Source organism: Homo sapiens, chromosome 12 (genome assembly GCF_000001405.40).
Source record: "Homo sapiens chromosome 12, GRCh38.p14 Primary Assembly".
Taxonomy (NCBI): Eukaryota; Metazoa; Chordata; class Mammalia; order Primates; family Hominidae; genus Homo; species Homo sapiens.
The window spans coordinates 7,588,813-7,610,677 of record NC_000012.12 but is presented as its reverse complement, the minus strand read 5'-3'; the positions used below and the strand labels follow the sequence as shown (position 1 = coordinate 7,610,677).

Here is a 21,865-nt window from a genome sequence, read left to right as displayed (position 1 = left end):
TGTGTAGTTATCTAAATCTTTTCACAGGTCTCTAAGAACTTGCTTTATTAATCTGGGTGCTCCTGTTTTGGGTGTGTATATATTTAACAGGTCTTCTTGTTGAATCGAGCACTTTATCATTATTTAGTTCTCTTCTGTGTCTTTTTGAATCATTGTTAGTTTAAAGTCTGTTTTGTGTGAAATTAGAATAGCAACTCCTATTTGCCATTTTCCATTTGCTTGATAGATTTTTCTCCATCCCTTTACTCTGGGCCTATAGGTGTCATTGCATGTGACATGGGTCTCTTGAAGAGAGCGTACCACTGGGTTTTGCCTCTTTATCTAACTTGCCACTGTGTGCCTTCAAATTGGGGCATTTAGCCTGTTTACATTCAAGGTTAGCCCTCATATGTGTGGATTTGATCCTGTCATCATGTTGTTAGCTGGTAATGATGCAGGCTGTTTGTGTTCCTGCTTTATAGTGTCACTTAAGTTTTGCGGTTTTTTGGGGGGGTAGTGGCTGGTAACAGTCTTTCCTTTCCATATTTAGCACCTTCTTCAGGAATCCTTGTAAGGCAAGTCTGGCAGTAACAATTTCTGTTAGCATTTGCTTGTCTGAAAAGGATCTTATTGCTCCTTTGTTTGTAAAACTTTGGCTGAATATGAAATTCTTGGTTAAATTTTTTTTCTTTAAAAATGCTGAATATAGTCTCTAATCTCTTCTAGCTTGTAGGATTTCTGCTAAAATGTCTGCTGTTTGCCTGATGGGATTCTCTTTGTAGGTGATCTGTCCCTTCTCTCTAGCTGCCTTTAACGTTTTTCTTTCATTTTGTTGTTGGAAAATCTGATGACTATGTGTCTTGGGGATGGTCTTCTTGTGTAGTATTTTGCATGGCTTCCCTGTCCCTGCAATTCCTGAATTTGAATGTTGGCCTTTCTAGTGAGTTGGCAAAAATTTTCATGGACGATATCCTGAAATATGTTTTTCAAGTTGCTTAGTTTCTCTTTCTGTCTCTCAGGCACACCAATGAGTCATACACTGGGTCTCTTTACATAAGCCTATATTTCTCAGAGGTTTTGTTCATTCTTCTTTATTGTTTTTCTTTATTTTTCTCTGACTGAATTATTTCAGAGAGCCAGTCTTCAAGCTCTGAGATTATTTTCTTAACTCTGTCAGTTCTGCTGTTGATACTTGTGATTGCATTATGAAATGTTTGTGGAGTGTTTTTCAGCTCTCTCAGATAATTTTAGTTCTTTTTTTCAATGGCCATTTCATCCGTTGTCTCCTATATTGCTCTATAATCTTAGATTTCTTGGATTGGGTTTTGACTTTCTCATGTATATTAATAATCTTCATTTTTATCTGTATTTTGAATTCTATGTCAGTCACTTCAGCCATCTTAGCCTGGTTAGGAACCATTGCTGTGAAACCACTGTGGTCATTTGTAAGTAAGACACTCTGGTTTTTTGAGTTGCCATAGTTCTTGCACTGGTTCTTTCTTCTCTTTGTGGTCTGATGTTCCTTCAAACTTTGAAGTTGCTAAGCTTTGGGTAGGTTTTTTTTTCTTTTATTCTCTTTATGTCCTTGGGGATTTGATTGTGATATAAGGTGGGTTCAGGCAACTGGCTTTGTTTCTGGAAGATTTTAGGGGTCCAAGGCTCAGCTCAGGACTTCTGGACTGGACTGTGGTGCTGTAATTCTGAGCAGCTGGTATTAGCCCCTTGCTTTGTTTTGTAGCTCCTGAAGGTTAGAAGCCTGCTACACTGGAGAGGCCAATTTGTTCCTGGACCACTGGTCACAACACTTTGATGGATGGTGCCAGCTACAGCACTTTGTAGCAAGGTAGCAGTGGGATTCATCCTCACTTGCATATGCCAGCAACAACAGCAGTGCAGCAGGGTGCATGCTCATCAACTGTAGTGGGGTGCTGGTGAGTGCAGATATGCCAGCCATTGTGCAGGCAGTCACAGCTTTGGTGGTGGCTGTATGGCATGGGGGTAGGGGAACCCAGTGGTGCCCATACACACATTTGCACTGGCAGTGGTGTTGGCAGCGCACCGGTTGGCATGGGCTTGTGTACATCCTCTGTGTGCACGTTAACATGGGCAGCATCTACCACTGAGTTGGGGACAGGTCTGCTGGTCTCCCTCGGTAGTTTTCTGCCAGTGGCAGTGTTGGCATGGGGGAAGGGTGCTGGTGAGTGCAAGTCTGGTGGTTTCTGTGCCTGTGAATGCTGTTTTTTCAATGGTAATAGCAGCACAGCAGGGTGTTGAAGGTGTGCAGTGTACTCATGCCAGCAGCTGTGGCATGTCAGGGTGCATGCCCACACAGGCACTGACAGGGAAGTGAAGGAAAGTTCTGCCCACAAGCACATGCACCAGCAAAGCAATGTACCACATTTTCTTTATCTAATCTGTCATTGACTACCATTGATGAGCACCTGAGTTGATTCTTTGTCTTTGCTACTGTGAGTAGCACAGTGATGAATATACCAGTGCATGTGTCTTTTTGGTAAAATAATATATCTTCTTTTTTTTTTTTTTTTTTGAGACGGAGTCTCACTCTGTTGCCCCGGCTGGAGTGCAGTGGCACAATCTCAGCTCACTGAAAGCTCCGCCTCCCAGGTTCATGCCATTCTCCTGCCTCAGCCTCCTGAGTAGCTGGGACTACAGGGGCTCACCACCATGCCCGGCTAATTTTTTTGTATTTTTAGTAGAGACGGGGTTTCACCATGTTAGCTAGGAAGGTTTGAGTATATATAGAGTAACAGGATTGCTGAGTCAAATGGTAGCTCTGTTTTAAGTTTTTTGAGAAATCTCCAGACTGGCTAGATGAATTTACATTCCCACCAGCAGTGCATAAGCATTACCTTTCTCCACAATGCCACCAGCATCTGTTGGTTATTGACCTTTTAATAATGACCATTCTGACTCATGTTATAGTATCCCATTGTGGTTTTGCTTTGCATTTATCTGATAATTAATAATGCTGAGTATTTTTAATAGGTTTGTTGGCCACTTGTATGACTTCTTTTGGGAAGTATCATATCCTTTGCCTGTTTTGTTTTGTTTTTAATAGTTTGAAACAGAAATTTATTCTCAGAATAATGCACAAAAGCATAGGTCGAGGCTACTGTTGGGAGGCTTCTCTCTCTTCCTCTTCCTACTCCCCCTACTCTCTGAATGCCAGGTAGAACACAGTTGAAGGAAACATGCAATCACAAACAATGATCAACTCTAAAGACAAAAAGGTTTGGTCCAAAATAACTCAACATAATTAATCCAATAACTGTGAAGAACTTTGCTGAGTAGGATTAAGATATTGCAGATGTTTCCTGCACATGTTTCCACAGGGTGGCTCTTCAGTGCACCAGCGGGGCCTGCTTGAGGGAGATGAGGACTGAGCACCTCTGGGAGATGTCTTTAGCCTGCCTTCTGGACTTGGGGTTAAAGTTACACAGCCAGGCCACACTTTCCCACTCAGTGCCTGGGAAGAACTGGTCAATGTCATTTACAAAGGCTTCTTCTGCTGCCCTGTTTGCTTTTGTTTTCTGTAGTTGCTCATCCTATCTCACATATCACACCTCTAGCTCCTTTATTGCCTTTTCTTTCCACTCTGCTTCTTGCTTCTGAGAATTGGCATCAAGGGCTTCCAAGCGTTCTGTTTGCTCTTCTCTCCATTTACGGATACTTTCAGGCTCTGACTGCAATCTATCCACTTGTGAAATGCTGCACAACTGTCTGTTGGACTATTACTTTCCTGGTAGTATTTACCATTCATTACTCCATCAACAGCATCCAGCTTGCCATGTGCCTGGGGCCTGGGGGCACCACCTTCCAGGATGGTGAAGGCCTCGTCATTCTTTTTTTTTTTTTTTGAGACACAGTTTTGCTCTTGTCACCCAGGCTGGAGTTCAATGGCACGATCTCAGCTTACTGCAATCTCCACTTCTCGGGTTCAAGTGATTCTCCTTCCTCAGCCTCCTCCACCTCCTGGGTTCAAGCAATTCTCCTGCCTCAGCCTCCTGAGAAGCTGGGATTACAGGCACATGCCACAGTGCCCAGCTAATTTTTGTGTATTCTTAGTAGACATGAAGTTTCACCATATTGGCCAGGCTTGTCTTGAACTCCTGACCTCAAGTGATCCACCTGCCTTGGCCTCCCAAACTGCTGGGATTACAGGCATGAGCCACTGCACCAGGTGGGAGTGAGACTTTTAATGATAGTCTTGCAAGATCAGGTGTCTGGTAGGCAGGCACACCCGGGTCAGTAACAGCAGGCAATTTATTTCCTAGCACGCAAGTCCCTCCCCCAGTTCCTCATTGGTCGAGTACTATGGGGTTACAATCTTCCCAGACGTCACCTAAGTTTCATTATCTCCTTATAGGGTCACACCCTGGTCCCCTTCCTTGCTTAAGTTTTTGTTTCCCAATAGCAAAACTTTATTCCCTTTTATGGGCTGACCCCTCCTCTACATTCTGTTTGCTTATTATGACTTTCTACGTGCATAAGCTGTGCAGTTTGTCATATCCGCAGGCTGGCTGCGAGTACTTAGGTCTATCATGCCTTGAAAATGGACCATTAAAATGTTTTCTTACAAGTTCCCTTTTTTTTCTTTCCTTTCCTTTTCTTCTCTTCTCTTTTCTTTCTTGCTTTCTTTCTTTCTTTCTTTCTTTCTTTCTTTTCATCTTTTGGTCTTATTTTTACTTTAATTTTTGGGTCCTTTCGTCCTCAAATCATTTTAGGACTACTTTACTTTCTTCTTCATAGTCTGGTTCAGTGTCTAACAACAGTAAGTTATTTTGCTGGTAGGTCATGGGCATTTGTTTGTTAATAGCTGTTCCAATTAACCTTTGTGCTAGTTCCAGTATACAAGGGATAATATAGCATCCCACTGCCCTTAAGGCCCTTGCTACAATTATGAGAGATGTAAGGACTGAAGCTACCATGCCTTTCCATTTCCCAAACCAACCTTCTAGCCAACCAGTAAATCGGTCATCAATTCCAGCATTTTCTGCCAGTTTGTTGGTGAGAGTTTTCCGTCCTTGTAATGCTTTTGTAATAGTTCAATCTGGGGCAGTATTGTTGGGAATGAAAATACAACATTTCCCACCCAGCATAACACATATGCCCCCTTTATCTGCTAGTATCATGTCTAGCTCAAGCCTCTTTTCCCAGGCCATTCAGCTGGTGGCATGTAACTGGCTAGTTAATTAAACTCGGGTGTCCCGAGTATAATTGATGAATTTCTGTTGATAATAATAAATAGAATTAATCCAATCCACATTTTTATTAATAGCTGATCATGAGAGGAGTGCTGACTGAAACCCAGCAGCTATTTGGTTTCAGGCCTTAAATTCATTAGGCATCCCCTCTAGGGACTCCTATGAAGGCAACATATATATTACGATCAAAAAAATTTGTTGGGGAGCTGAGAACCTGACGTTTCTAGGAGTGCCTCGTAGAGTTAGTGATGGCCGCTTTTGGCATGGCAGCCTTTTCTGTACCAGCTGGGCCAATCCTGTCACTTAACCCGCAGGAAGATGTCGAGTTTCAAAAGGAGGTGGTAGAGGTTTGCAAGTGCACAACCCAGCAAAAAGAACAAGAACAACTTACTCCTAGAGTAGTCTTTGTGTGCCACCTACTTAATGAAACCCAGATCTTTTCGTATTTCTCCCAGTTTGGCACTGTTACATGGTTCAGACTGTTCAGAAGTAAAAGGACTGGAAATAGCAAAGGCTATGCATCTGCAAGTTTGAGTTTGAGGATGTTGCCAAGATAGTTGATGAAACAATGAACAAGTACCTGTTTGGTGAAAGACTCTTGGAGTGTCATTATATGCCACCTGAAAAAGTACACAAAGAGCTCTTTAAAGACTGGAATATTCCATTTAAGCAGCCATCTTATCATCAGTGAAATGTTATAATCAGAATCGGACACTAACACAAAAGCTACGGATGGAGGAGTGATTTAAAAAGAAACAAAGATTACTCAGGAAGAAATGAGCTAAAAAAGGAATTGATTATGATTTTCCTTCTTTGATTTTACAGAAAACAGAAAGTATTTTAAAAACTAATCATCAGACATCTACAAAAGGCCAGGTTTTCTGTAAGAAGAAGAAAAGGGTTTTTGGCACTCTTGACACTCCTGAGAAGACCGTGGATAGCCAGGGCCCCACACCAGTTTGTACACCAGTATTTTTGGAGAGACAAAAATCTGAAGTGGCTGAAATGAATGATGATGATAAATATAATGAAATAGTTTTCTAACAGCCCATATCCTGTATAAAAGAAGAAATACAAGAGACTCAAACACCTACACATTCACAGAAAAAAGAAGAAAAACAATCAGTGATTTTCAATGTATTATGTGTAATATTTCTTCTGAAAAATATAATATTTTTATGAGAAAAAAAGAATTTGTTAAGTCTCTCTTGTTCCAATGGCCATGTGTATTTTCAGGTATTTTATGGAATGCCAGGGTGAAGGGAATGGCCAATTGAACTAAAGCACAAGTCCTGGTCCAATTAGATGGTAACAGGTTACCGAGGTTCCTGTTCCCATAATACCATCAGACATCAGCCCAGGGTATATAAAAGCTGAGTAATTGCCATTGCCTGACTTACCTGTGATGTTTAGAATGTGGGTACAAGTCGAGAGTTCTCCCATAGGCTTATTGAACTCTGCCCCTGCCTAAAGAGGCAAGAGGAGTGGTTCATATTCCCTATAGAGAAGGAGGGGATTGCTCTGGAATCTGACCTCCACAATGTGGGAAAGATCAATGACAGACTCTTATGAGTCTCATTTCCCCATGCATCCTTGTCCTGGTTTAGAGCCAACATGCAACACATTCCTTCAGGATCAATACCCAGCCTAGGGGAAACAGAAACACCTGTGCCTGAGGTCCTCCCACAGCACACGTGTAGCAGTTGCTCTTGTTCAGTGTTTATACCAAAAATTTGAGCCATTTGACCCAGGCATTCACATCTCTGTTCCCTGTCTCAGTTTCTAAGGTTTGCCATAAATCCTTTACTTCAATTATTTCTACTCTTTTAGGGTCATTATTTGATGGATTAAAGTGTGTGTTAGGGACTGGGGTTGGAGTAGTCCCAGGCAAATGGGAGGTCAAGTTCTTAATCAGTTTGAGAACAAATCTCTCTATGGGGGCTTTTCCTGTGATGTCTGCCCCTAACCATATACTCAAGACACTACTTTTGGTTCTTGGTCTAGAACGGCTGGATTGTCAATGGTGATGAGTGTAGGACTGCATTCTATATTCTGGCAGTTATTTGGTGGGGAGCCCTTGGACAGATGTAGTTTATTCTTCAAGGGTCTCCAGCTCAGTGTTACCCACCCCATGTTTATTGTCCAACCATGAAATTTGGTACTCCACCATACATCATCCCAGCTGGAGCAGGGTGATGCCCTATCATAAGCTGTATCTGGTTCAGGACAAAGATATTTATCCACCTGTGAGAGCTGTCTCTGGTTTTCTAAATTCCCATGAGATAAAACCTGGCAGGCATCAAATCTTATAGTGTGGGGTGCTACTGTCTTGGTCAAATTAATCACTAACTTGATTGGGTATGGAAGAGTCCCCTGCCAATTTCCATTTTGACCTTCTGCTCTTTGTATAGTAACCCATCCCAGCCATACTGACTTCCAGAGATGAGGCCAGCTCATGTTTTCTTTTTAGTTTTTTCTCAGAGTTAATTTTAAGGTTTCCTCAGGTGACCCATGCACTTTGCATTGGTTTTCTTTTTTTTTTTTTTAAGGTGGGGTCTTGCTCTGTTGTTCAGTCTGGAGTGCAGTGGTGCGATCTTGGCTCACTGCAAACTTCACCACCCAGGTTCAAGTGATTCCCCCACCTCAGCCTCCCAAATAGCTGAAATTACAGGCATACACCACCGTGCCCAGCTAATTTTTGTATTTTTAGTAGAGACAGGGTTTCATCATGTTGGCCAGGCTGGTCTCAAACTCCTGACCTCAAGTGATCCACCCACCTCGGCCTCCCAAAGTGCTTAGATTACAGGTATGAGCCAACCTGCCCTGCCTCCATTTTTTTTTTCCTCTCCCTTCTGGCTTCTTTTTGTTTTTTTCTTTTTTTACCAGTTCCTTGACTTGAGTAAAGTGAGTCCACTCGTTCAGCTGTTTGCATGTCTGTCTTGGTGGTTAGGAGTACTTGATATGGACCTTTCCAACTTGGATGGATGTTGTCTTTTTTTCAAGTCTTAATCAGCACGGAGTCACCAGCCTGGAAGTGGTGAGTCATGAACTCAAGAGGTGGAGTTTCAATCAGAAGTCTTTTTAACCGAAGGGATGACACGATGGAGAATGTAGCCAGTATGCAATTTCTTAAGAATTGGTCCTTGGTTTCCCTAGTAGGAAGATCTGTAGCTCTGCCCAAACACAGGAGCCCATATAATAACTCAGAGGGGGACAATCCCAAGTATTTTCTTGGGGCTGTCCTAATCCTAAGGAGTGCTATTGGGAGACATTTTCTCCAAGCCATTTTAGTTTCTAAGATTAGTTTGGTAATATGCTTTTTGAGAGTTTGATTTATTCCCTCTACCTCTCCAGAGGAATGGAGATGCCAAGGAGTGTGATACTCACATCTAATGTGTAAACCTTCCATAATTCCCCTTAGCATCCTTGAGGTAAAGTGGTTTCCATTGTCCAAATCAATATTTGCCACCAGGCCAAATCTAGGTACACTGTGTTCTAATATTATTTTTACCACATTCCAAGCAGTGGCTGTCAGAAAGGAAAAGTCTTCCACCCCGCTGGAAAGGTGATCTACAATCACCAGCAAATACTTTGGTCTTCCTACCTTGGACATTTCTGTGAAATCTACTTGAATGCTCTGAACTGGTCTTAGTCCAGGAGGTCTTCCTCCAAAGGCCTGTTTTCTAATCACCATTTTGTTTATTCTTTGACAAGTTACACAGCTTCTACATAGTTATTTAGTGAGGGTGTAAATCTCTATACACCCATAATTCTTAAGTATTACATCACACAGAGCCTGGGGTTCCCAATGACTCCCTTTGTGTAATATAGACTTTAGTTCTGTCATCAGGGGTTTACTTATCATTTCTCTCCCATGAGGAAGTACCCACCCTCCATTTTCAGTCTGAGTGGCCCCTATCTTGCCTAGTTTCTCTTTCTCTTCTCTAGTGAATTGGGGCCTTAATATTACCTTCAAGATGTCTAGAATTAGGTTAAATAGTCTAATTTCTTCCTGTAGAGAGGCTTGTTTGGCAGCTTCATCAGCAAGCCTGTTCCCTACAGCTTCCATAGTGTTCCCTTTCTCATGGTCACTTATATGAACTATGGCTATCTCTGCTGAAAACAGAAGGCTCTTTAAGACCTGCTGATTAGTTTCCCATGTATCAGTTCCTTTCCCTTGCTATTTCTTAAGCCCTGCTCTGGCTAGATTTTCTCCAAAAGTGTGTACCTCCCAAAGGCATATTTGGAGTCAGTATATATAGTGCCTTCTCGGCCTTCAAGGAGCTTTAGGGCCTGGTTAAGGGCATATAATTCACAGGTTTGGGCTGACCAGCCATTAGGTAATCTACCTTCCTCACATAACGAGTGTTCATTTCCATCAATGACAGCATAACCATTATGTATCTTGCCATCTATCACTTGGGATGACCCATCCACAAACAGCCTAATCCCATTATGTAGAGGAGCTTCTCTAATGTCTGGTCTAACTCTGGTTTGGTATTCTACGATATCTAAGCAGTTATGGTCTTATGCCTCTTTGTTCTCCTCTCCTTCCCATAGGAAACTGGCTGGATTCAGACAAGTATTTGTTCTTACAGCCAAATCATCTTTTTCTAATAATATAGCTTCATATTTTAGAATCTGAGAATCCATTAACTCTCTCCCAGATATTTGATTTAATATATTCCTGACCTGATGTGGGGTGCTCACTATTAGGGCCTCACCAAAGATTAGCTTTCAACTTTCTCTACCAGTGGGGTGGTGACAGGTACTGCTTGCACACATTAGGGCCATCCTTGAGAGTCAGAATCGAGAAGCTTGGAGACAAAAGCAACAGATTGCCTCTTCCCTCCCCAGGTTTGAATGAGCACCCCAAGGGCCACACCCTGGTCTACCATTACAAACAGATGGGCTAGTTTCTCTAAAAATAGGAGGGCTAGGATTGGGGCTGTAATGAGGGCCTGCACCTAAAGTAGCCAGTTAAACCAAAAACTTTTTGGAGTTCTCGCTTTGTCTTAGACAAAGGCAGACCCACTATTCCTGATATTCTTTCTGGGTTTATTTTCCACTTCCCTTCACTAATCAGGTGTTCTGAATATTTAACTTATTTTTCAACAAATTGCAATTTGTTCTTTTTTTAATTTTTATACTTTAAGTTCTAGGGTACATGTGTGAATGTGCAGGTTTGTTACATAGGTATACATGTGCCATGGTGGTTTGCTGAACCCATCAACCTGTCACCTACATTAGGTATTTCTCCTAATGTTACCCCTCCCATAGCCCCCCACCCCACTGACAGACCCCAGTGTGTGATGTTCCCCTCCCTATGTCCTTGTGTTCTTATTGTTCAACTCCCACTTATGAGTGAGAACATGTGGTGTTTGGTTTTCTGTTCTTATGACAGTTTGCTGAGAATGATGGTTTCCAGCTTCATCCATGTCCCTGGAAAGGCCATGAACTCATCCTTTTTTATGGCTGCATAGTATTCCATGGTGTATATGTGCCACATTTTCTTTATCTAGTCTATTATTGATGGACATTTAGGTTGGTTCCAAGTCTTTGCTATTGTGAATAGTGCCGCAATAAACATAAGTGTGCATGTGTCTTTATAGTATCATGATTTATAATCCTTTGTGCATATACCCAGTGATGGGATCACCATATCAAATGGTATTTCTCGTTCTAAATCCTTGAGGAATCTCCACACTGCCTTCCACAATGGTTGAACCAATTTACACTCCTACCAACAGTGTAAAAGCATTCCTATTTCTCCACATCCTGTCCAGCATCTGTTGTTTCCTGACTTTTTAATGATCACCATTCTAACTGGTGTGAGATGGTATCTCATTGTGGTTTTGATTTGCATTTCTCTAATGATCAGTGATGATGAGCACTTTTTCATATGTCTGGTGACTGCAGAAATGGCTTCTTTTGAGAAGTGTCTGTTCATATCCTTTGCCCACTTTTTGATGGGGTTATTTGTTTTTTTCTTGTAAATTTGTTGAACTTCTTTGTAGATTCTGGACATTAGCCCTTTGTCAGAAGGATATATTACAAAAATTTTCTCCCATTCTGTAGGTTGCCTGTTGACTCTGATGATAGTTTCTTTTGCATTGCAGAAGGTCTTTAGTTTAATTAGATTCCATTTGTCAATTTTGGCTTTTGTTGCCATTGCTTTTGGTGCTTTAGTCATGAAGTCTTTGCCCATGCCTATGTCCTGAGTGGTATTGCCCATGTTTTCTTCTAGGATTTTTATGGTCCTAGGTCTTACCTTTAAGCCTTTGATCAATCTTGAGTTGATTTTTGTATAAGGTGTAAGGAAGGGGTCCAGTTTCAGTTTTCTGCATATGGTTAGCCACTTTTCCTTACACCATTTATTAAGTAGGGAATCTTTTCCCCATTTCTTGTTCGTGTCAGGTTTGTCAAAGATCAGATGGTTGTAGATGTGTGGTGTTTTTTCTGAGGCCTCTGTTCAGTTCCATTGGTCTGTATATCTGTTTTGGTACCAGTACCATGCTGTTTTGGTTACTGTACTGTAGCCTTGTAATGTAGTTTGAAGTCAAGTAGCGTGATGCCTTCAGCTTTGTTCTACTTGCCCAGGATTGTCTTGGTTATGTGGGCTATTTTTTGGTTCCATATGAAGTTTAAAGTAGTTTTTTTCCAATTCTGTGAAGAAAGTCATTGGTAGCTTTATGGGGATAGCATTCAATATATAAATTACTTTGGGGAGTATGGCCATTTTTATGATATTGCTTCTTCCTATCCATTAGCATGGAATGTTTTTCCATTTATTTGTGTCCTCTCTTATTTCCTTGAGCAGCAGTTTGTAGTTCTCCTTGAAGAGGTCCTTTACATTCCTTGTAAATTTTATTCCTAGGTATTTTATTCACTTTGTAGCAATTGTGAATGGGAGTTCATTCATGATTTGGCTTTCTCTTTGTCTGTTGTTGGTGTATAGGAATACTTGTGATTTTTCCACATTGATTTTGTATCCTGAGACTTTGCTGAAGTTGCTTATCAGCTTGAGGAGATTTTGGGTTGAGATAATGGGGTTTTCTAAATATATAATCATGTCATCTGCAAACAGAGACAGTTCAACTTCCTCTCTTCCTACTTGAATACCCTTTATTTCTTTCTCTTGCCTGATTGCCCTGGCCAGAATTTCCATTACTATGTTGAATAGGAGTGGTGAGAGAGGGCATCCTTGTCTTGTGCCGGTTTTCAAAGGGAATGCTTCCAGTTTTTGCCCATTCAGTATTATATTGGCTGTGAGTTTGTAATAAATAGCTCTTATTATTTTGAGATAAATTCCATCAATACCTAGTTTATTGAGAGTTTTTACATGAAAGGATGTTACATTTTTTCAAAGACCTTTTTTGCATCTATTGAGATAATCATGTGGTTTTTGTCATTGGTTCTGTTTATGTGACAGATTATGTTTATTGATTTGCATATGTTGAACAAGCCTTGCATCCCAGGAACGAAGCCAACTTGATCGTGGTGGATAAGCTTTTTGATGTGCTGCAGGATTCAGTTTGCCAGTATTTTATTGAGGACTTTCACACAGATGTTCATGAGGAATATTGTCCTGAAATTTTCTTTTTTTGTGGGATCTCTCCCAGCTTTTGGTACCAGGATGATGCTGGCCTCATAAAATGAGTTAGAGAGGATTCCCTCTTTTTCTATTTTTTGGAATAGTTTCAGAAGAAATGGTATCAGTTCCTCTTTGTACCTTTGGTAGAATTTGGCTGTGAATCCATCTGGTCCTGGCCTTTTTGGTTGGTAGACTATTAATTACTGCCTCAATTTCAGAACTTGCTATTGGTTTTTTCAGGGATTCAAGTTCTTCCTGGTTTAAACTTGGGAGGGTGCATGTGTCTAGGAATTTATCCATTTCTTCTAGATTTGCATAGAGGTGTTTATAGTATTCTCTGATGGTTTGTATTTCTGTGGGATCAGTGGTGATATCCCCTATACCATTTTTTATTGCATCTATTTGATTCTTGTCTCTTTTCTTTATTAGTTGGGCTAGTGGTCTGTTTTGTTGATCTTTTCAAAAAGCCAGCTCCTGGATTCACTGATGTTTTGAAGGGTTTTTTTCTGTCTCTATGTCCTTCCATTCTGCTCTGATCTTAGTTATTTCTTGTCTTCTGCTAGATTTTGAATTTGCTTGCTGTTGCTTCTGTAGTTCTTTTAATTTTGATATTAGCATGTCAATTTTAGATCTTTCCTGATTTCTCTTGTGGGCATTTAGTGCTATAAATTTCACTCACACACTGCTTTAAATGTGTCCCAGAGATTCTGGTCCATTGTGTCTTCATTCTCATTGGTTTCAAAGAACATCTTTATTTCTGCCATTATTATGTTATTTACCCAGTAGTCATTCAGAAGCAGGTTGTTCAGTTTCCATATAGTTGTGCAGTTTTGAGTGAGTTTCTTAATCCTGAGTTCTAATTTGATTGTACAGTGGGTCTAAGAGATTGTTTGTTATGATTTCTGTTCTTTTGCATTTGCTGAGGACTGTTTTACTTCCAACTATGTGGTCAATTTTAGAATAAGTGCGATGAGGTGCTGAGAAGAATGTATATTCTATTGATTTGGGGTGGAGAGTTCTATAGATGTGTATTATGTCTGCTTGGTCCACAGCTTAGTTCAAGTTCTGAATATCCTTGTTAATTTTCTGTCTCATTGATCTAATATTGACAGTGCCTGTTAAAGTCTCCCACTATTATTGTGTGGGAGTTTAAGTCTCTTTGTAGGTGTCTCTAAGGACTTGCTTTATGAATCTGGGTGCTCCTGTATTGGGTGCATATATATTTAGAATAGTTAGTTCTTCTTGCTGCATTTATCCCTTTACTATTATGTAATGGCCTTCTTTGTCTCTTTTGATCTTTGTTGGTTTAAAGTCTGTTTTATCAGAGAGTAGGATTGCAACTCTTGCTTTCTTCTGCTTTCCATTTGCTTGGTAAATATTCCTCCATCCCTTTGTTTTGAGCCTATGTGTGTCTTTACACATGAGATGGATCTCCTGAATACAGCACACTGATGGGTCTTGACTCTTTATCCAATTTGCCAGTCTGTGTCTTTTAATTTGGGCATTTAGCCCATTTACATTTAAGGTTAATATTGTTATGTGTGAATTTGATCCCGTCATTATGATGCTAGCTGGTTGTGTTTCCCATTAGTTAATGCAGTTTCTTCATAGTGTTGCTGTTCTTTACAATTTGTATGTTTTTGCAGCAGCTGGTACTGGTTGTTCCTTTCCATGTTTAGTGCTTCCTTCAGGAGCTCTTGTAAGGCAGGACTGGTGGTGACAAAATCTCTCAGCAGTTGCTTGTCTGTAAAGTATTTTATTTCTCCTTCACTTATGAAGCTTAGTTTGGCTGGATACGAAATTCTGGGTTGAAAACTCTTTTCTTTAAGAATGTTGAATATCGGCCTCCACTCTCTTCTGGCTTGTAGAGTTTCTGCTGAGAGATCTGCTGTTAGACTGATGGGATTCCCTTTGTGGGTAGCCCGACCTTTCTGTCTGGCTGCCCTTAATATTTTTTCCTTATTTCAACCTTGGTGAATCTGACAATTATATGTCTTGGGGTTGCTCTTCTTGAGGAGTATCTTGGTGCTGTTCTCTGTATTTCCTGAATTTGAATGTTGGCCTGTCTTGCCAGGTTGGGGAAGTTCTCCTGTATAATATGCTGAAAAATGTTTTCCAAGTTGATTTTATTCTCCTCGTCATTTTCAGGTACACCAATCAAACGTAGATTTGGTCTTTTCACATAGTCCCATATTTCTTGGAGGTTTTGTTCATTCCTTTTCATTCTTTTTTCTCTAATCTTGTCTTCTCTCTTTATTTCATTAAGTTGATCTCCAATCACTGATATTCTTTCTTCCTCTTGATCGATTCGGCTATTGAAACTTGTGTATGCTTCATGAAGTTCTCGTGCTGTGTTTTTCAGCTCCATCAGGTCATTTATGTTCTTCTTTACACTGGTTATTCTGGTTAGCAATTTATCTAATCTTTTTTCACGATTCTTAGCTTCCTTGCATTGGGTTAGAACATGCTCCTTTAGCTTGGAGGAGTTTGTTATTACTCACCTTCTGAAGCCTACTTCTGTCAATTCATCAAACTCATTCTCTATTCAGTTTTGTTCCCTTGCTGGTGAGGAGTTGCAATCCTTTGGAGGAGAAGAGGCATTCTGGTTTTTGGAATTTTCAGCGTTTTTGTGTTGGTTTCTCCCCATCTTTGTGGATTTATCTACCTTTGGTCTTTGAGGTTAGTGACCTTCAAATGGGGTCTCTGAGGGGACGTGCTATTTCTTTCTGCTTGTTAGTTTTCCTTCCGACAGTCAGGCCCCTCTGCTGCCAATCTGCTGGAGTTTGCTGGAGGTCCACTCCCGACCCTGTTTGCCTGGGCATCACCAGCAGAGGCTGCAGAACAGCCAAGATTGCTTCCTGATCTTTCTGCTGGAAGTTTCATCCCAGAAGGAAACCTGCCAGATACTAGCCAGAGCTCTCTTGTATGAGGTATCTCTTGGCCCCTACTGGGAGGTGTTTCCCAGTCAGGATACACGGGGGTGAGAGGCCCACTTGAGGAGTCAGTCTGACCCTTAGCAGAGCTCAAACGCTGTGCTGGGAGGTCTGCTGCTCTCTTGAGAGCTGTGAGGCAGGAACATTTAATTCTGCTGAAACTTTGCTCACAGTCTCCCCTTTCCTTAGGTGCTCTGTCCCAGGGAGATGGGAGTTTTATCTATAAGCCCCTGACTGGGGCTGCTGCGTTTTTTTCAGAGTTGCCCTGCCCAGAGAGGAGGAATCTAGAGAGGCAGTCTGGCAGCAGTGGCCTTGCTGAGCTGCAGTGGGCTCTGCCCAGTTCAAACTTCCCAGCAGCTTTGTTTACACTATGAGTGTAAAACCACCTACTCCAGCCTCAGCAATGGCGGATGTCCCTTCCCCAACCAAGCTTGAACCTCCAGGTCAATCTCAGACTGCTGCTATGCTGGCATCAAGAATTTCAAGCCAGTGGATCTTAGTTTGCTGGGCTCCATGGAGTGGGACCCACTGAGCCTGACTACTTGGCTCCCTGGCTTCAGTACCCCTTTCCAGGGAAGTGACAGTTCTGTCTCACTGGCATTGCAGGTGCCACTGGCATATGGAATAAAGGAACTCCTACAGCTAGTTCTGTGTCTCCCCAAATGGTTGCCGAGTTTTATGCTTGAAACCCAGGGCCCTGGTGGGGTAAGCACTGGAGGGAATCTCCTGGTTTGCAGGTTGCGAAGACCATGGGACAAGTGCAGTATCTGTCAGAGTTCCTCAGGCTCAGATGCTCACAGCTTCCCTTGGGTAGGGGAGAAAATTCCCTGACTCCTTGCACTTCCCGGGTGAGGTAATGCCCTTTGGATTGCCTTCCATTGGTGGCACCCACTGTCCAACCAGTTCTAATGAGATGAACCGGGTGCCTCAGTTGGAAATTCAGAAATCACCCACCTTCTGTGATGATCTCGCTGGGAGCTGCAGACCGAAGCTGCTCCTATTCAGCCATCTTGCCAGTAATCGCCCCAGCTTACCAAAAAGAGCCACACTGGGGTTTCAGCACAAGTCCAGCTAACTGTAACACGGCACTTTCTTCCCCATTGTTTTGTGTACACTTCTTTCCATGGAGAACCTTGGGAGAAAAGGGGTGGCTGAGCTGCTTGGCTTACCAAGGTAACCAGATACCACCTAAAGCTTCCCAAAGCTCACAATGGCTTTGTGGCCACTAACAAATGGCCACTAACATGCCACAATTTGTTCTTGAAGACTCACAATCCCATTTCTCTTTGGAAATTAAGCAAGCTTATGGCGGTTTCTGAAATCTTGGCCCTCCTCTCTCCAGAAATTAAAACATCATCCACATATTGTAATAACTGGGTTCCCCTGGAAGGTTGGAATTCCTCCAGGACTTTTTCTAAGACTTGACTAAATAAATTTGGGGCTTCTGTAAAACCTTGTGGTAGCACAGTCTAGTGGTACTGTTGTTTTCTCCCATTTATGGGATTTTCCCATTCAAAGGCAAAGAGATCCCTACTCCTAAAGTCTAGGGGACATGCTCAGAATCCATCTTTTAGATTTACCACACTAAACCACTTATGTTCATAGGGTATCTTACTGAGGAGGGTGTAGGGGTTAGGCACCACAGGGTGGCAGGTTTGGGGAATTTGATTTATGGTCCTTAGATCTTGCACTAATCTATATGACCCATCAGGCTTCTTAACTGGGAGAATTGGCATATTGTATGATGACATGGAGGGTTCCAATAGTCCATCTCTAATCAATCCCTCTATTACTAGTTGGAAACATTTTCTCCCTTCAATGTGAATCGGGTATTGTTTTCTGCAGATTACTTCTCCTGGTTGTTTTAGTTCAATCTATAAGGATGTCATTTTTAGCCCTCCCCTGTTGCCTTCCCTAACCCACACAAGGGGATTGATTTTTCTTTCCTCCTCCTCTATTAGGAGGTCCATCATTACTTTTATTTGTCCCTCCTCTATTCCTAATCCTAAACCCAGTCTCACAATCAAGTCTCGACCCAGGTTAGTTCCTGCTTCAGGAACATATAGGAGTGACCCCTCAATTTGATCTGGTCTCAATATAATTAAAATTTTCTTGAATATCAGAATGTAAAATCCCTCCCCTTTTACCCCTGATACTGTCAGTTTTTCCTTAGAGAGTTCTGTACTCTTTGGTCAGTGAGTTAGGGAGGAGCGAGCCTCCCCAGTGTCAACTAAGAATGTCACTTTTTCCCCCTCGAGTCCCACCCTCAAATCTATCAAGGGTTCCTGGTGGTACCTACTCAGAAGGAACCCCTGACCCCCCCCCCCAACCTTCATCAAAGGTCATAAAGGGGGTCACCTTTTCTTCTTTTTTCCATTTGGGAAATTCTCTTTTAAAATGCCCTGGCTTTCCACACTTGTAACATCCATTTATAGTCTTAGGAGCTTTTCCCTGCATTTCTCTTCTCTCTCTGTGTCAAAATTTATCATTCCCTTGTCTCTTTTGAGGGAGATCTTAATCTAACCTTTTTCTAACTACCTGTTCCACAGTGAAAAACATGATTTTCACTTTTTGTTTCTGCTTCTCTTCCTCTCTCCTTACAAAGACCTTCTGAGCTTCCCTCAGTCATTTTTTAATCAGTTTCTCATTCCATCTACCAATATTTTGTAGTTTCTTAGTAATGTCAGGCCAGCTTTTAGTTACAAAGTTAACCTTCAAAAGGCCTTACCCTACTGGGTCCTATGGATCTAATCCTGAGTATTTCCTCATTTGGTCTCTGAACCTCTGCAAGAATGAAGAGGGGATTTCTTCTTTTTCTTGTTGAATCTCAAACGCTTTAGAGATATTTTGTGTCCTAGGAGTGGACTCTTTAATCCCTTTAATCATTATTTCCCTGAGGTACTGCATTTGGGCCTGATCCATGGGATAATTATTATCCCATTCAGGATGGACATTTGGAAATTTTTACTCAGCTGATGAGACTCCTTTTCTGGGAGGGTGATGCCTCTCCCAGATAGTCATGGCCACTCTCCCAACAATTCCCCTTTCTTCTCCTATGAACAGAATATTTATAATAGGTATTATTCAGCCCAGGTGTAAAAGCTGGGCCATAGGAATTGGTCCAGCTTATCTGCTAAACAAAGGGGATCTTCTAGGAGTGGGTTCATCCCCTTTTTGAAATTGCTGACTTCAGTACTTGTAAGCGGAGCATTTACAAAGCCAATCTCTTCCTGTCCCGTGGGAAGTTCCCTAATGGGGAACATGCAAGATGTCTGCTGTTTGGAAAGGATAGAGTAGTCCTTAATATCCCTTTTACATTGTTCTAATTCTTTTCTTAAATTTGGGTAAGGCTCTAAAGGAGCATCTGGTTTGGCTCCCCCGCAGTCTCCAGGTCTTTCTTCCTCTAACCCTCGTGATGCCCCTTAATCTTCCCGTCCCCTATTCTGTGAGACGTATGGAGGGGGAAAGCGTGACAGGGGGTCCCTGGGCTTTTCACCAGGCAAGGGCTTTTTACTAAGCTCTTTTTCTTCTTATTCCTTGAGGGGCAACATGGGGGCTAATTCCTTGATCCAACAGAGAACATAACGTATCTTTTCTTGTGAGGATGTGGTTTTATCATTCACATAGAGAATTAAAGCTTGGCACACCCAATCCTCATCTGAGCCAAACTTAGGCCAAAACACTGATGGCTTTTATAAAAAGTCTTTGACTCCCTCTCCCTCTCCCTCTCCCCACGGTCTCCCTCTCCCTCTCTTTCCACGGTCAGCATCTCTCCCTCTCCCTCTCCCCACGGTCTCCCTCTCCCTCTCTTTCCACGGTCTCCCTCTGATGCTGAGCCAAAGCTGGACTGTACTGCTGCCATCTCGGCTCACTGCAACCTCCCTGCCTGATTCTCCTGCCTCAGCCTGCGAGTGCCTGCGATTGCAGGCGCGCGCCGCCACGCCTGACTGGTTTTCGTATTTTTTTGGTGGAGACGGGGTTTCGCTGTGTTGGCCAGGCTGGTCTCCAGCTCCTAACCGCGAGTGATCCGCCAGCCTCGGCCTCCGGAGGTGCTGGGATTGCAGACGGTGTCTGGTTCACTCAGTGCTCAATGGTGCCCAGGCTGGAGTGCAGTGGCGTGATCTCGGCTCGCTACAACCTCCACCTCCCAGCCGCCTGCCTTGGCCTCCCAAAGTGCCCAGAGTGCAGCCTCTGCCCGGCCGCCACCCCGTCTAGGAAGTGAGGAGCGTCTCTGCCTGGCCGCCCATCGTCTGGGATGTGAGGAGCCCCTCTGCCGGGCTGCCCAGTCTGGAAAGTGAGGAGCGTCTCTGCCCGGCCGCCATCCCATCTAGGAAGTGAGGAGCGTCTCTGCCCGGCCACCCATCGTCTGAGATGTGGGGAGCGCCTTTGCCCCGCCGCCCCATCTGGGATGTGAGGAGCGCCTCTGCCCAGCCGCAACCCCGTCTGGGAGGTGAGGAGTGTCTCTGCCCAGCTGCCCTGTCTGAGAAGGGAGGAGACCCTCTGCCTGGCAACCGCCCCATCTGAGAAGTGAGGAGCCCCTCCGCCTGGCAGCCGCCCCGTCTGGGAAGTGAGGAGCCCCTCCGCCCGGCAGCCACCCCGTCTGGGAAGTGAGGAGTGTCTCTGCCCGGCAGCCGCCCCGTCCGGGAGGGAGGTGGGGTTCAGCCCCCGCCAGGCCAGCCGCCTCGTCCGGGAGTTGAGGGGCGCCTCTGCCCGGCCGCCCCTACTGGGAAGTGAGGAGCCCCTTTGCCCCGCCAGCCGCCCCATCCGGGAGGGAGGTGGGGGGGTCAGCCCCCCCGCCCGGCCAGCCCCCTCGTCTGGGAGGTGAGGGGCGCCTCTGCCCGGCCGCCCCTACTGGGAAGTGAGGAGCCTCTCTGCCTGGCCAGCCACCCCGTCCGGGAGGGAGGTGGGGGGGTCAGCCCCCTGCCCGGCCAGCCGCCCCGTCCGGGAGGGAGGTGGAGGGGTCAGCCCCCCTCCCAGCCAGCCGCCCCGTCCGGGAGGTGAGGGGCGCCTCTGCCCGGCCGCCCCTACTGGGAAGTGAGGAGCCCCTCTGCCCGGCCAGCCGCCCCGTCTGGGAGGGAGGTGGAGGGTCAGCCCCCCGCCCGGCCAGCCGCCCAGTCTGGGAGGGAGGTGGGGGGGTCAGCCCCCCGCCCGGCCAGCCGCCCCGTCCGGGAGGTGAGGGGCGCCTCTGCCCGGCCGCCCCTACTGGGAAGTGAGGAGCCCCTCTGCCCGGCCACCACCCCGTCTGGGAGGTGTGCCCAACAGCTCATTGAGAACGGGCCGTGATGACAATGGTGGTTTTGTGGAATAGAAAGCGGGGAAAAGTGGGGAAAAGATTGAGAAATCGGATGGTTGCCATGTCTGTGTGGAAAGGAGTAGACATGGGAGACTTTTCATTTTGTTCTGTACTAAGAAAAATTCTTCTGCCTTGGGATCCTGTTGATCTGTGACCTTACCCCCCAACCCTGTGCTCTCTGAAACATGTGCTGTGTCCACTCAGGGTTAAATGGATTAAGGGCAGTGCAAGATGTGCTTTGTTAAACAGATGCTTGAAGGCAGCATGCTCGTTAAGAGTCATCACCACTCCCTAATCTCAAGTACCCAGGGACACAAACGCTGCGGAAGGCCTCAGGGTCCTCTGCCTAGGAAAACCAGAGACCTTTGTTCACTTGTTTATCTGCTGACCTTCCCTCCACTATTGTCCTATGACCCTGCCAAATCCCCCTCTGTGAGAAACACCCAAGAATGATCAATAAAAATAAATAAATAAATAAAAATAAAAATAAAAAGTCTTTGATCCAGATAAAACAGAAATACTTTATCATCTTTTGCTTTTTCTTGTCCCTGGTTGGAGGGTTGTCTCTCCAAAACTGCAGAATTCTCCCCAAGGAGCTATCTGGGGGAATATTAGAGGAAGTCACTTTGGCTTCCGCTTTCCTTTGTTCCCTCCGCCCAGAATTTCTGTTTCCCATTTTCGGTAAGTCTCTGTGTTTGAGTTTTTTTTCCTATGTACTCAACTCCCCCTGCTGGAGGTTTCTTGCACACCTAGAGAATTGCTTCATGGGAGAACAGAATGGTGGATTGGGACTCTGCACTTGCTTCATATCTGGGATGTGTCTCAGTCACGCACACATGAC

The 21,865-nt window shown here is 43.9% G+C and overlaps 2 pseudogenes, besides 3 other annotated features; one reads left to right on the top strand and one right to left on the bottom strand.

Annotated features, from left to right (window-relative positions):
• Positions 238 to 438: a silencer, noted in NCBI's record as "peak1559 fragment used in MPRA reporter construct". NCBI's record gives its function as "represses an SCP1 promoter by STARR-seq MPRAs in K562 erythroleukemia cells {active_cell/tissue: K562}" and the evidence as "EXISTENCE:reporter gene assay evidence [ECO:0000049][PMID:32103011]".
• Positions 1,549 to 2,049: an enhancer, noted in NCBI's record as "H3K4me1 hESC enhancer chr12:7761225-7761725 (GRCh37/hg19 assembly coordinates)". NCBI's record gives its function as "activates a minimal SCP1, AML or CMV promoter by ChIP-STARR-seq in primed H9 embryonic stem cells {active_cell/tissue: H9 hESC(primed)}" and the evidence as "EXISTENCE:reporter gene assay evidence [ECO:0000049][PMID:30033119]".
• On the bottom strand, positions 3,057 to 3,778 carry LOC100131676 (clathrin light chain A pseudogene; annotated as a pseudogene).
• NIFKP3 (NIFK pseudogene 3) lies at positions 5,446 to 6,424 on the top strand (annotated as a pseudogene).
• Positions 21,571 to 21,865: an enhancer, noted in NCBI's record as "tiled region #13430; HepG2 Activating non-DNase unmatched - State 12:CtcfO, and K562 Activating DNase matched - State 12:CtcfO". NCBI's record gives its function as "activates a minimal TATA promoter and a strong SV40 promoter by Sharpr-MPRA in HepG2 and K562 cells {active_cell/tissue: HepG2 | K562}" and the evidence as "EXISTENCE:reporter gene assay evidence [ECO:0000049][PMID:27701403]".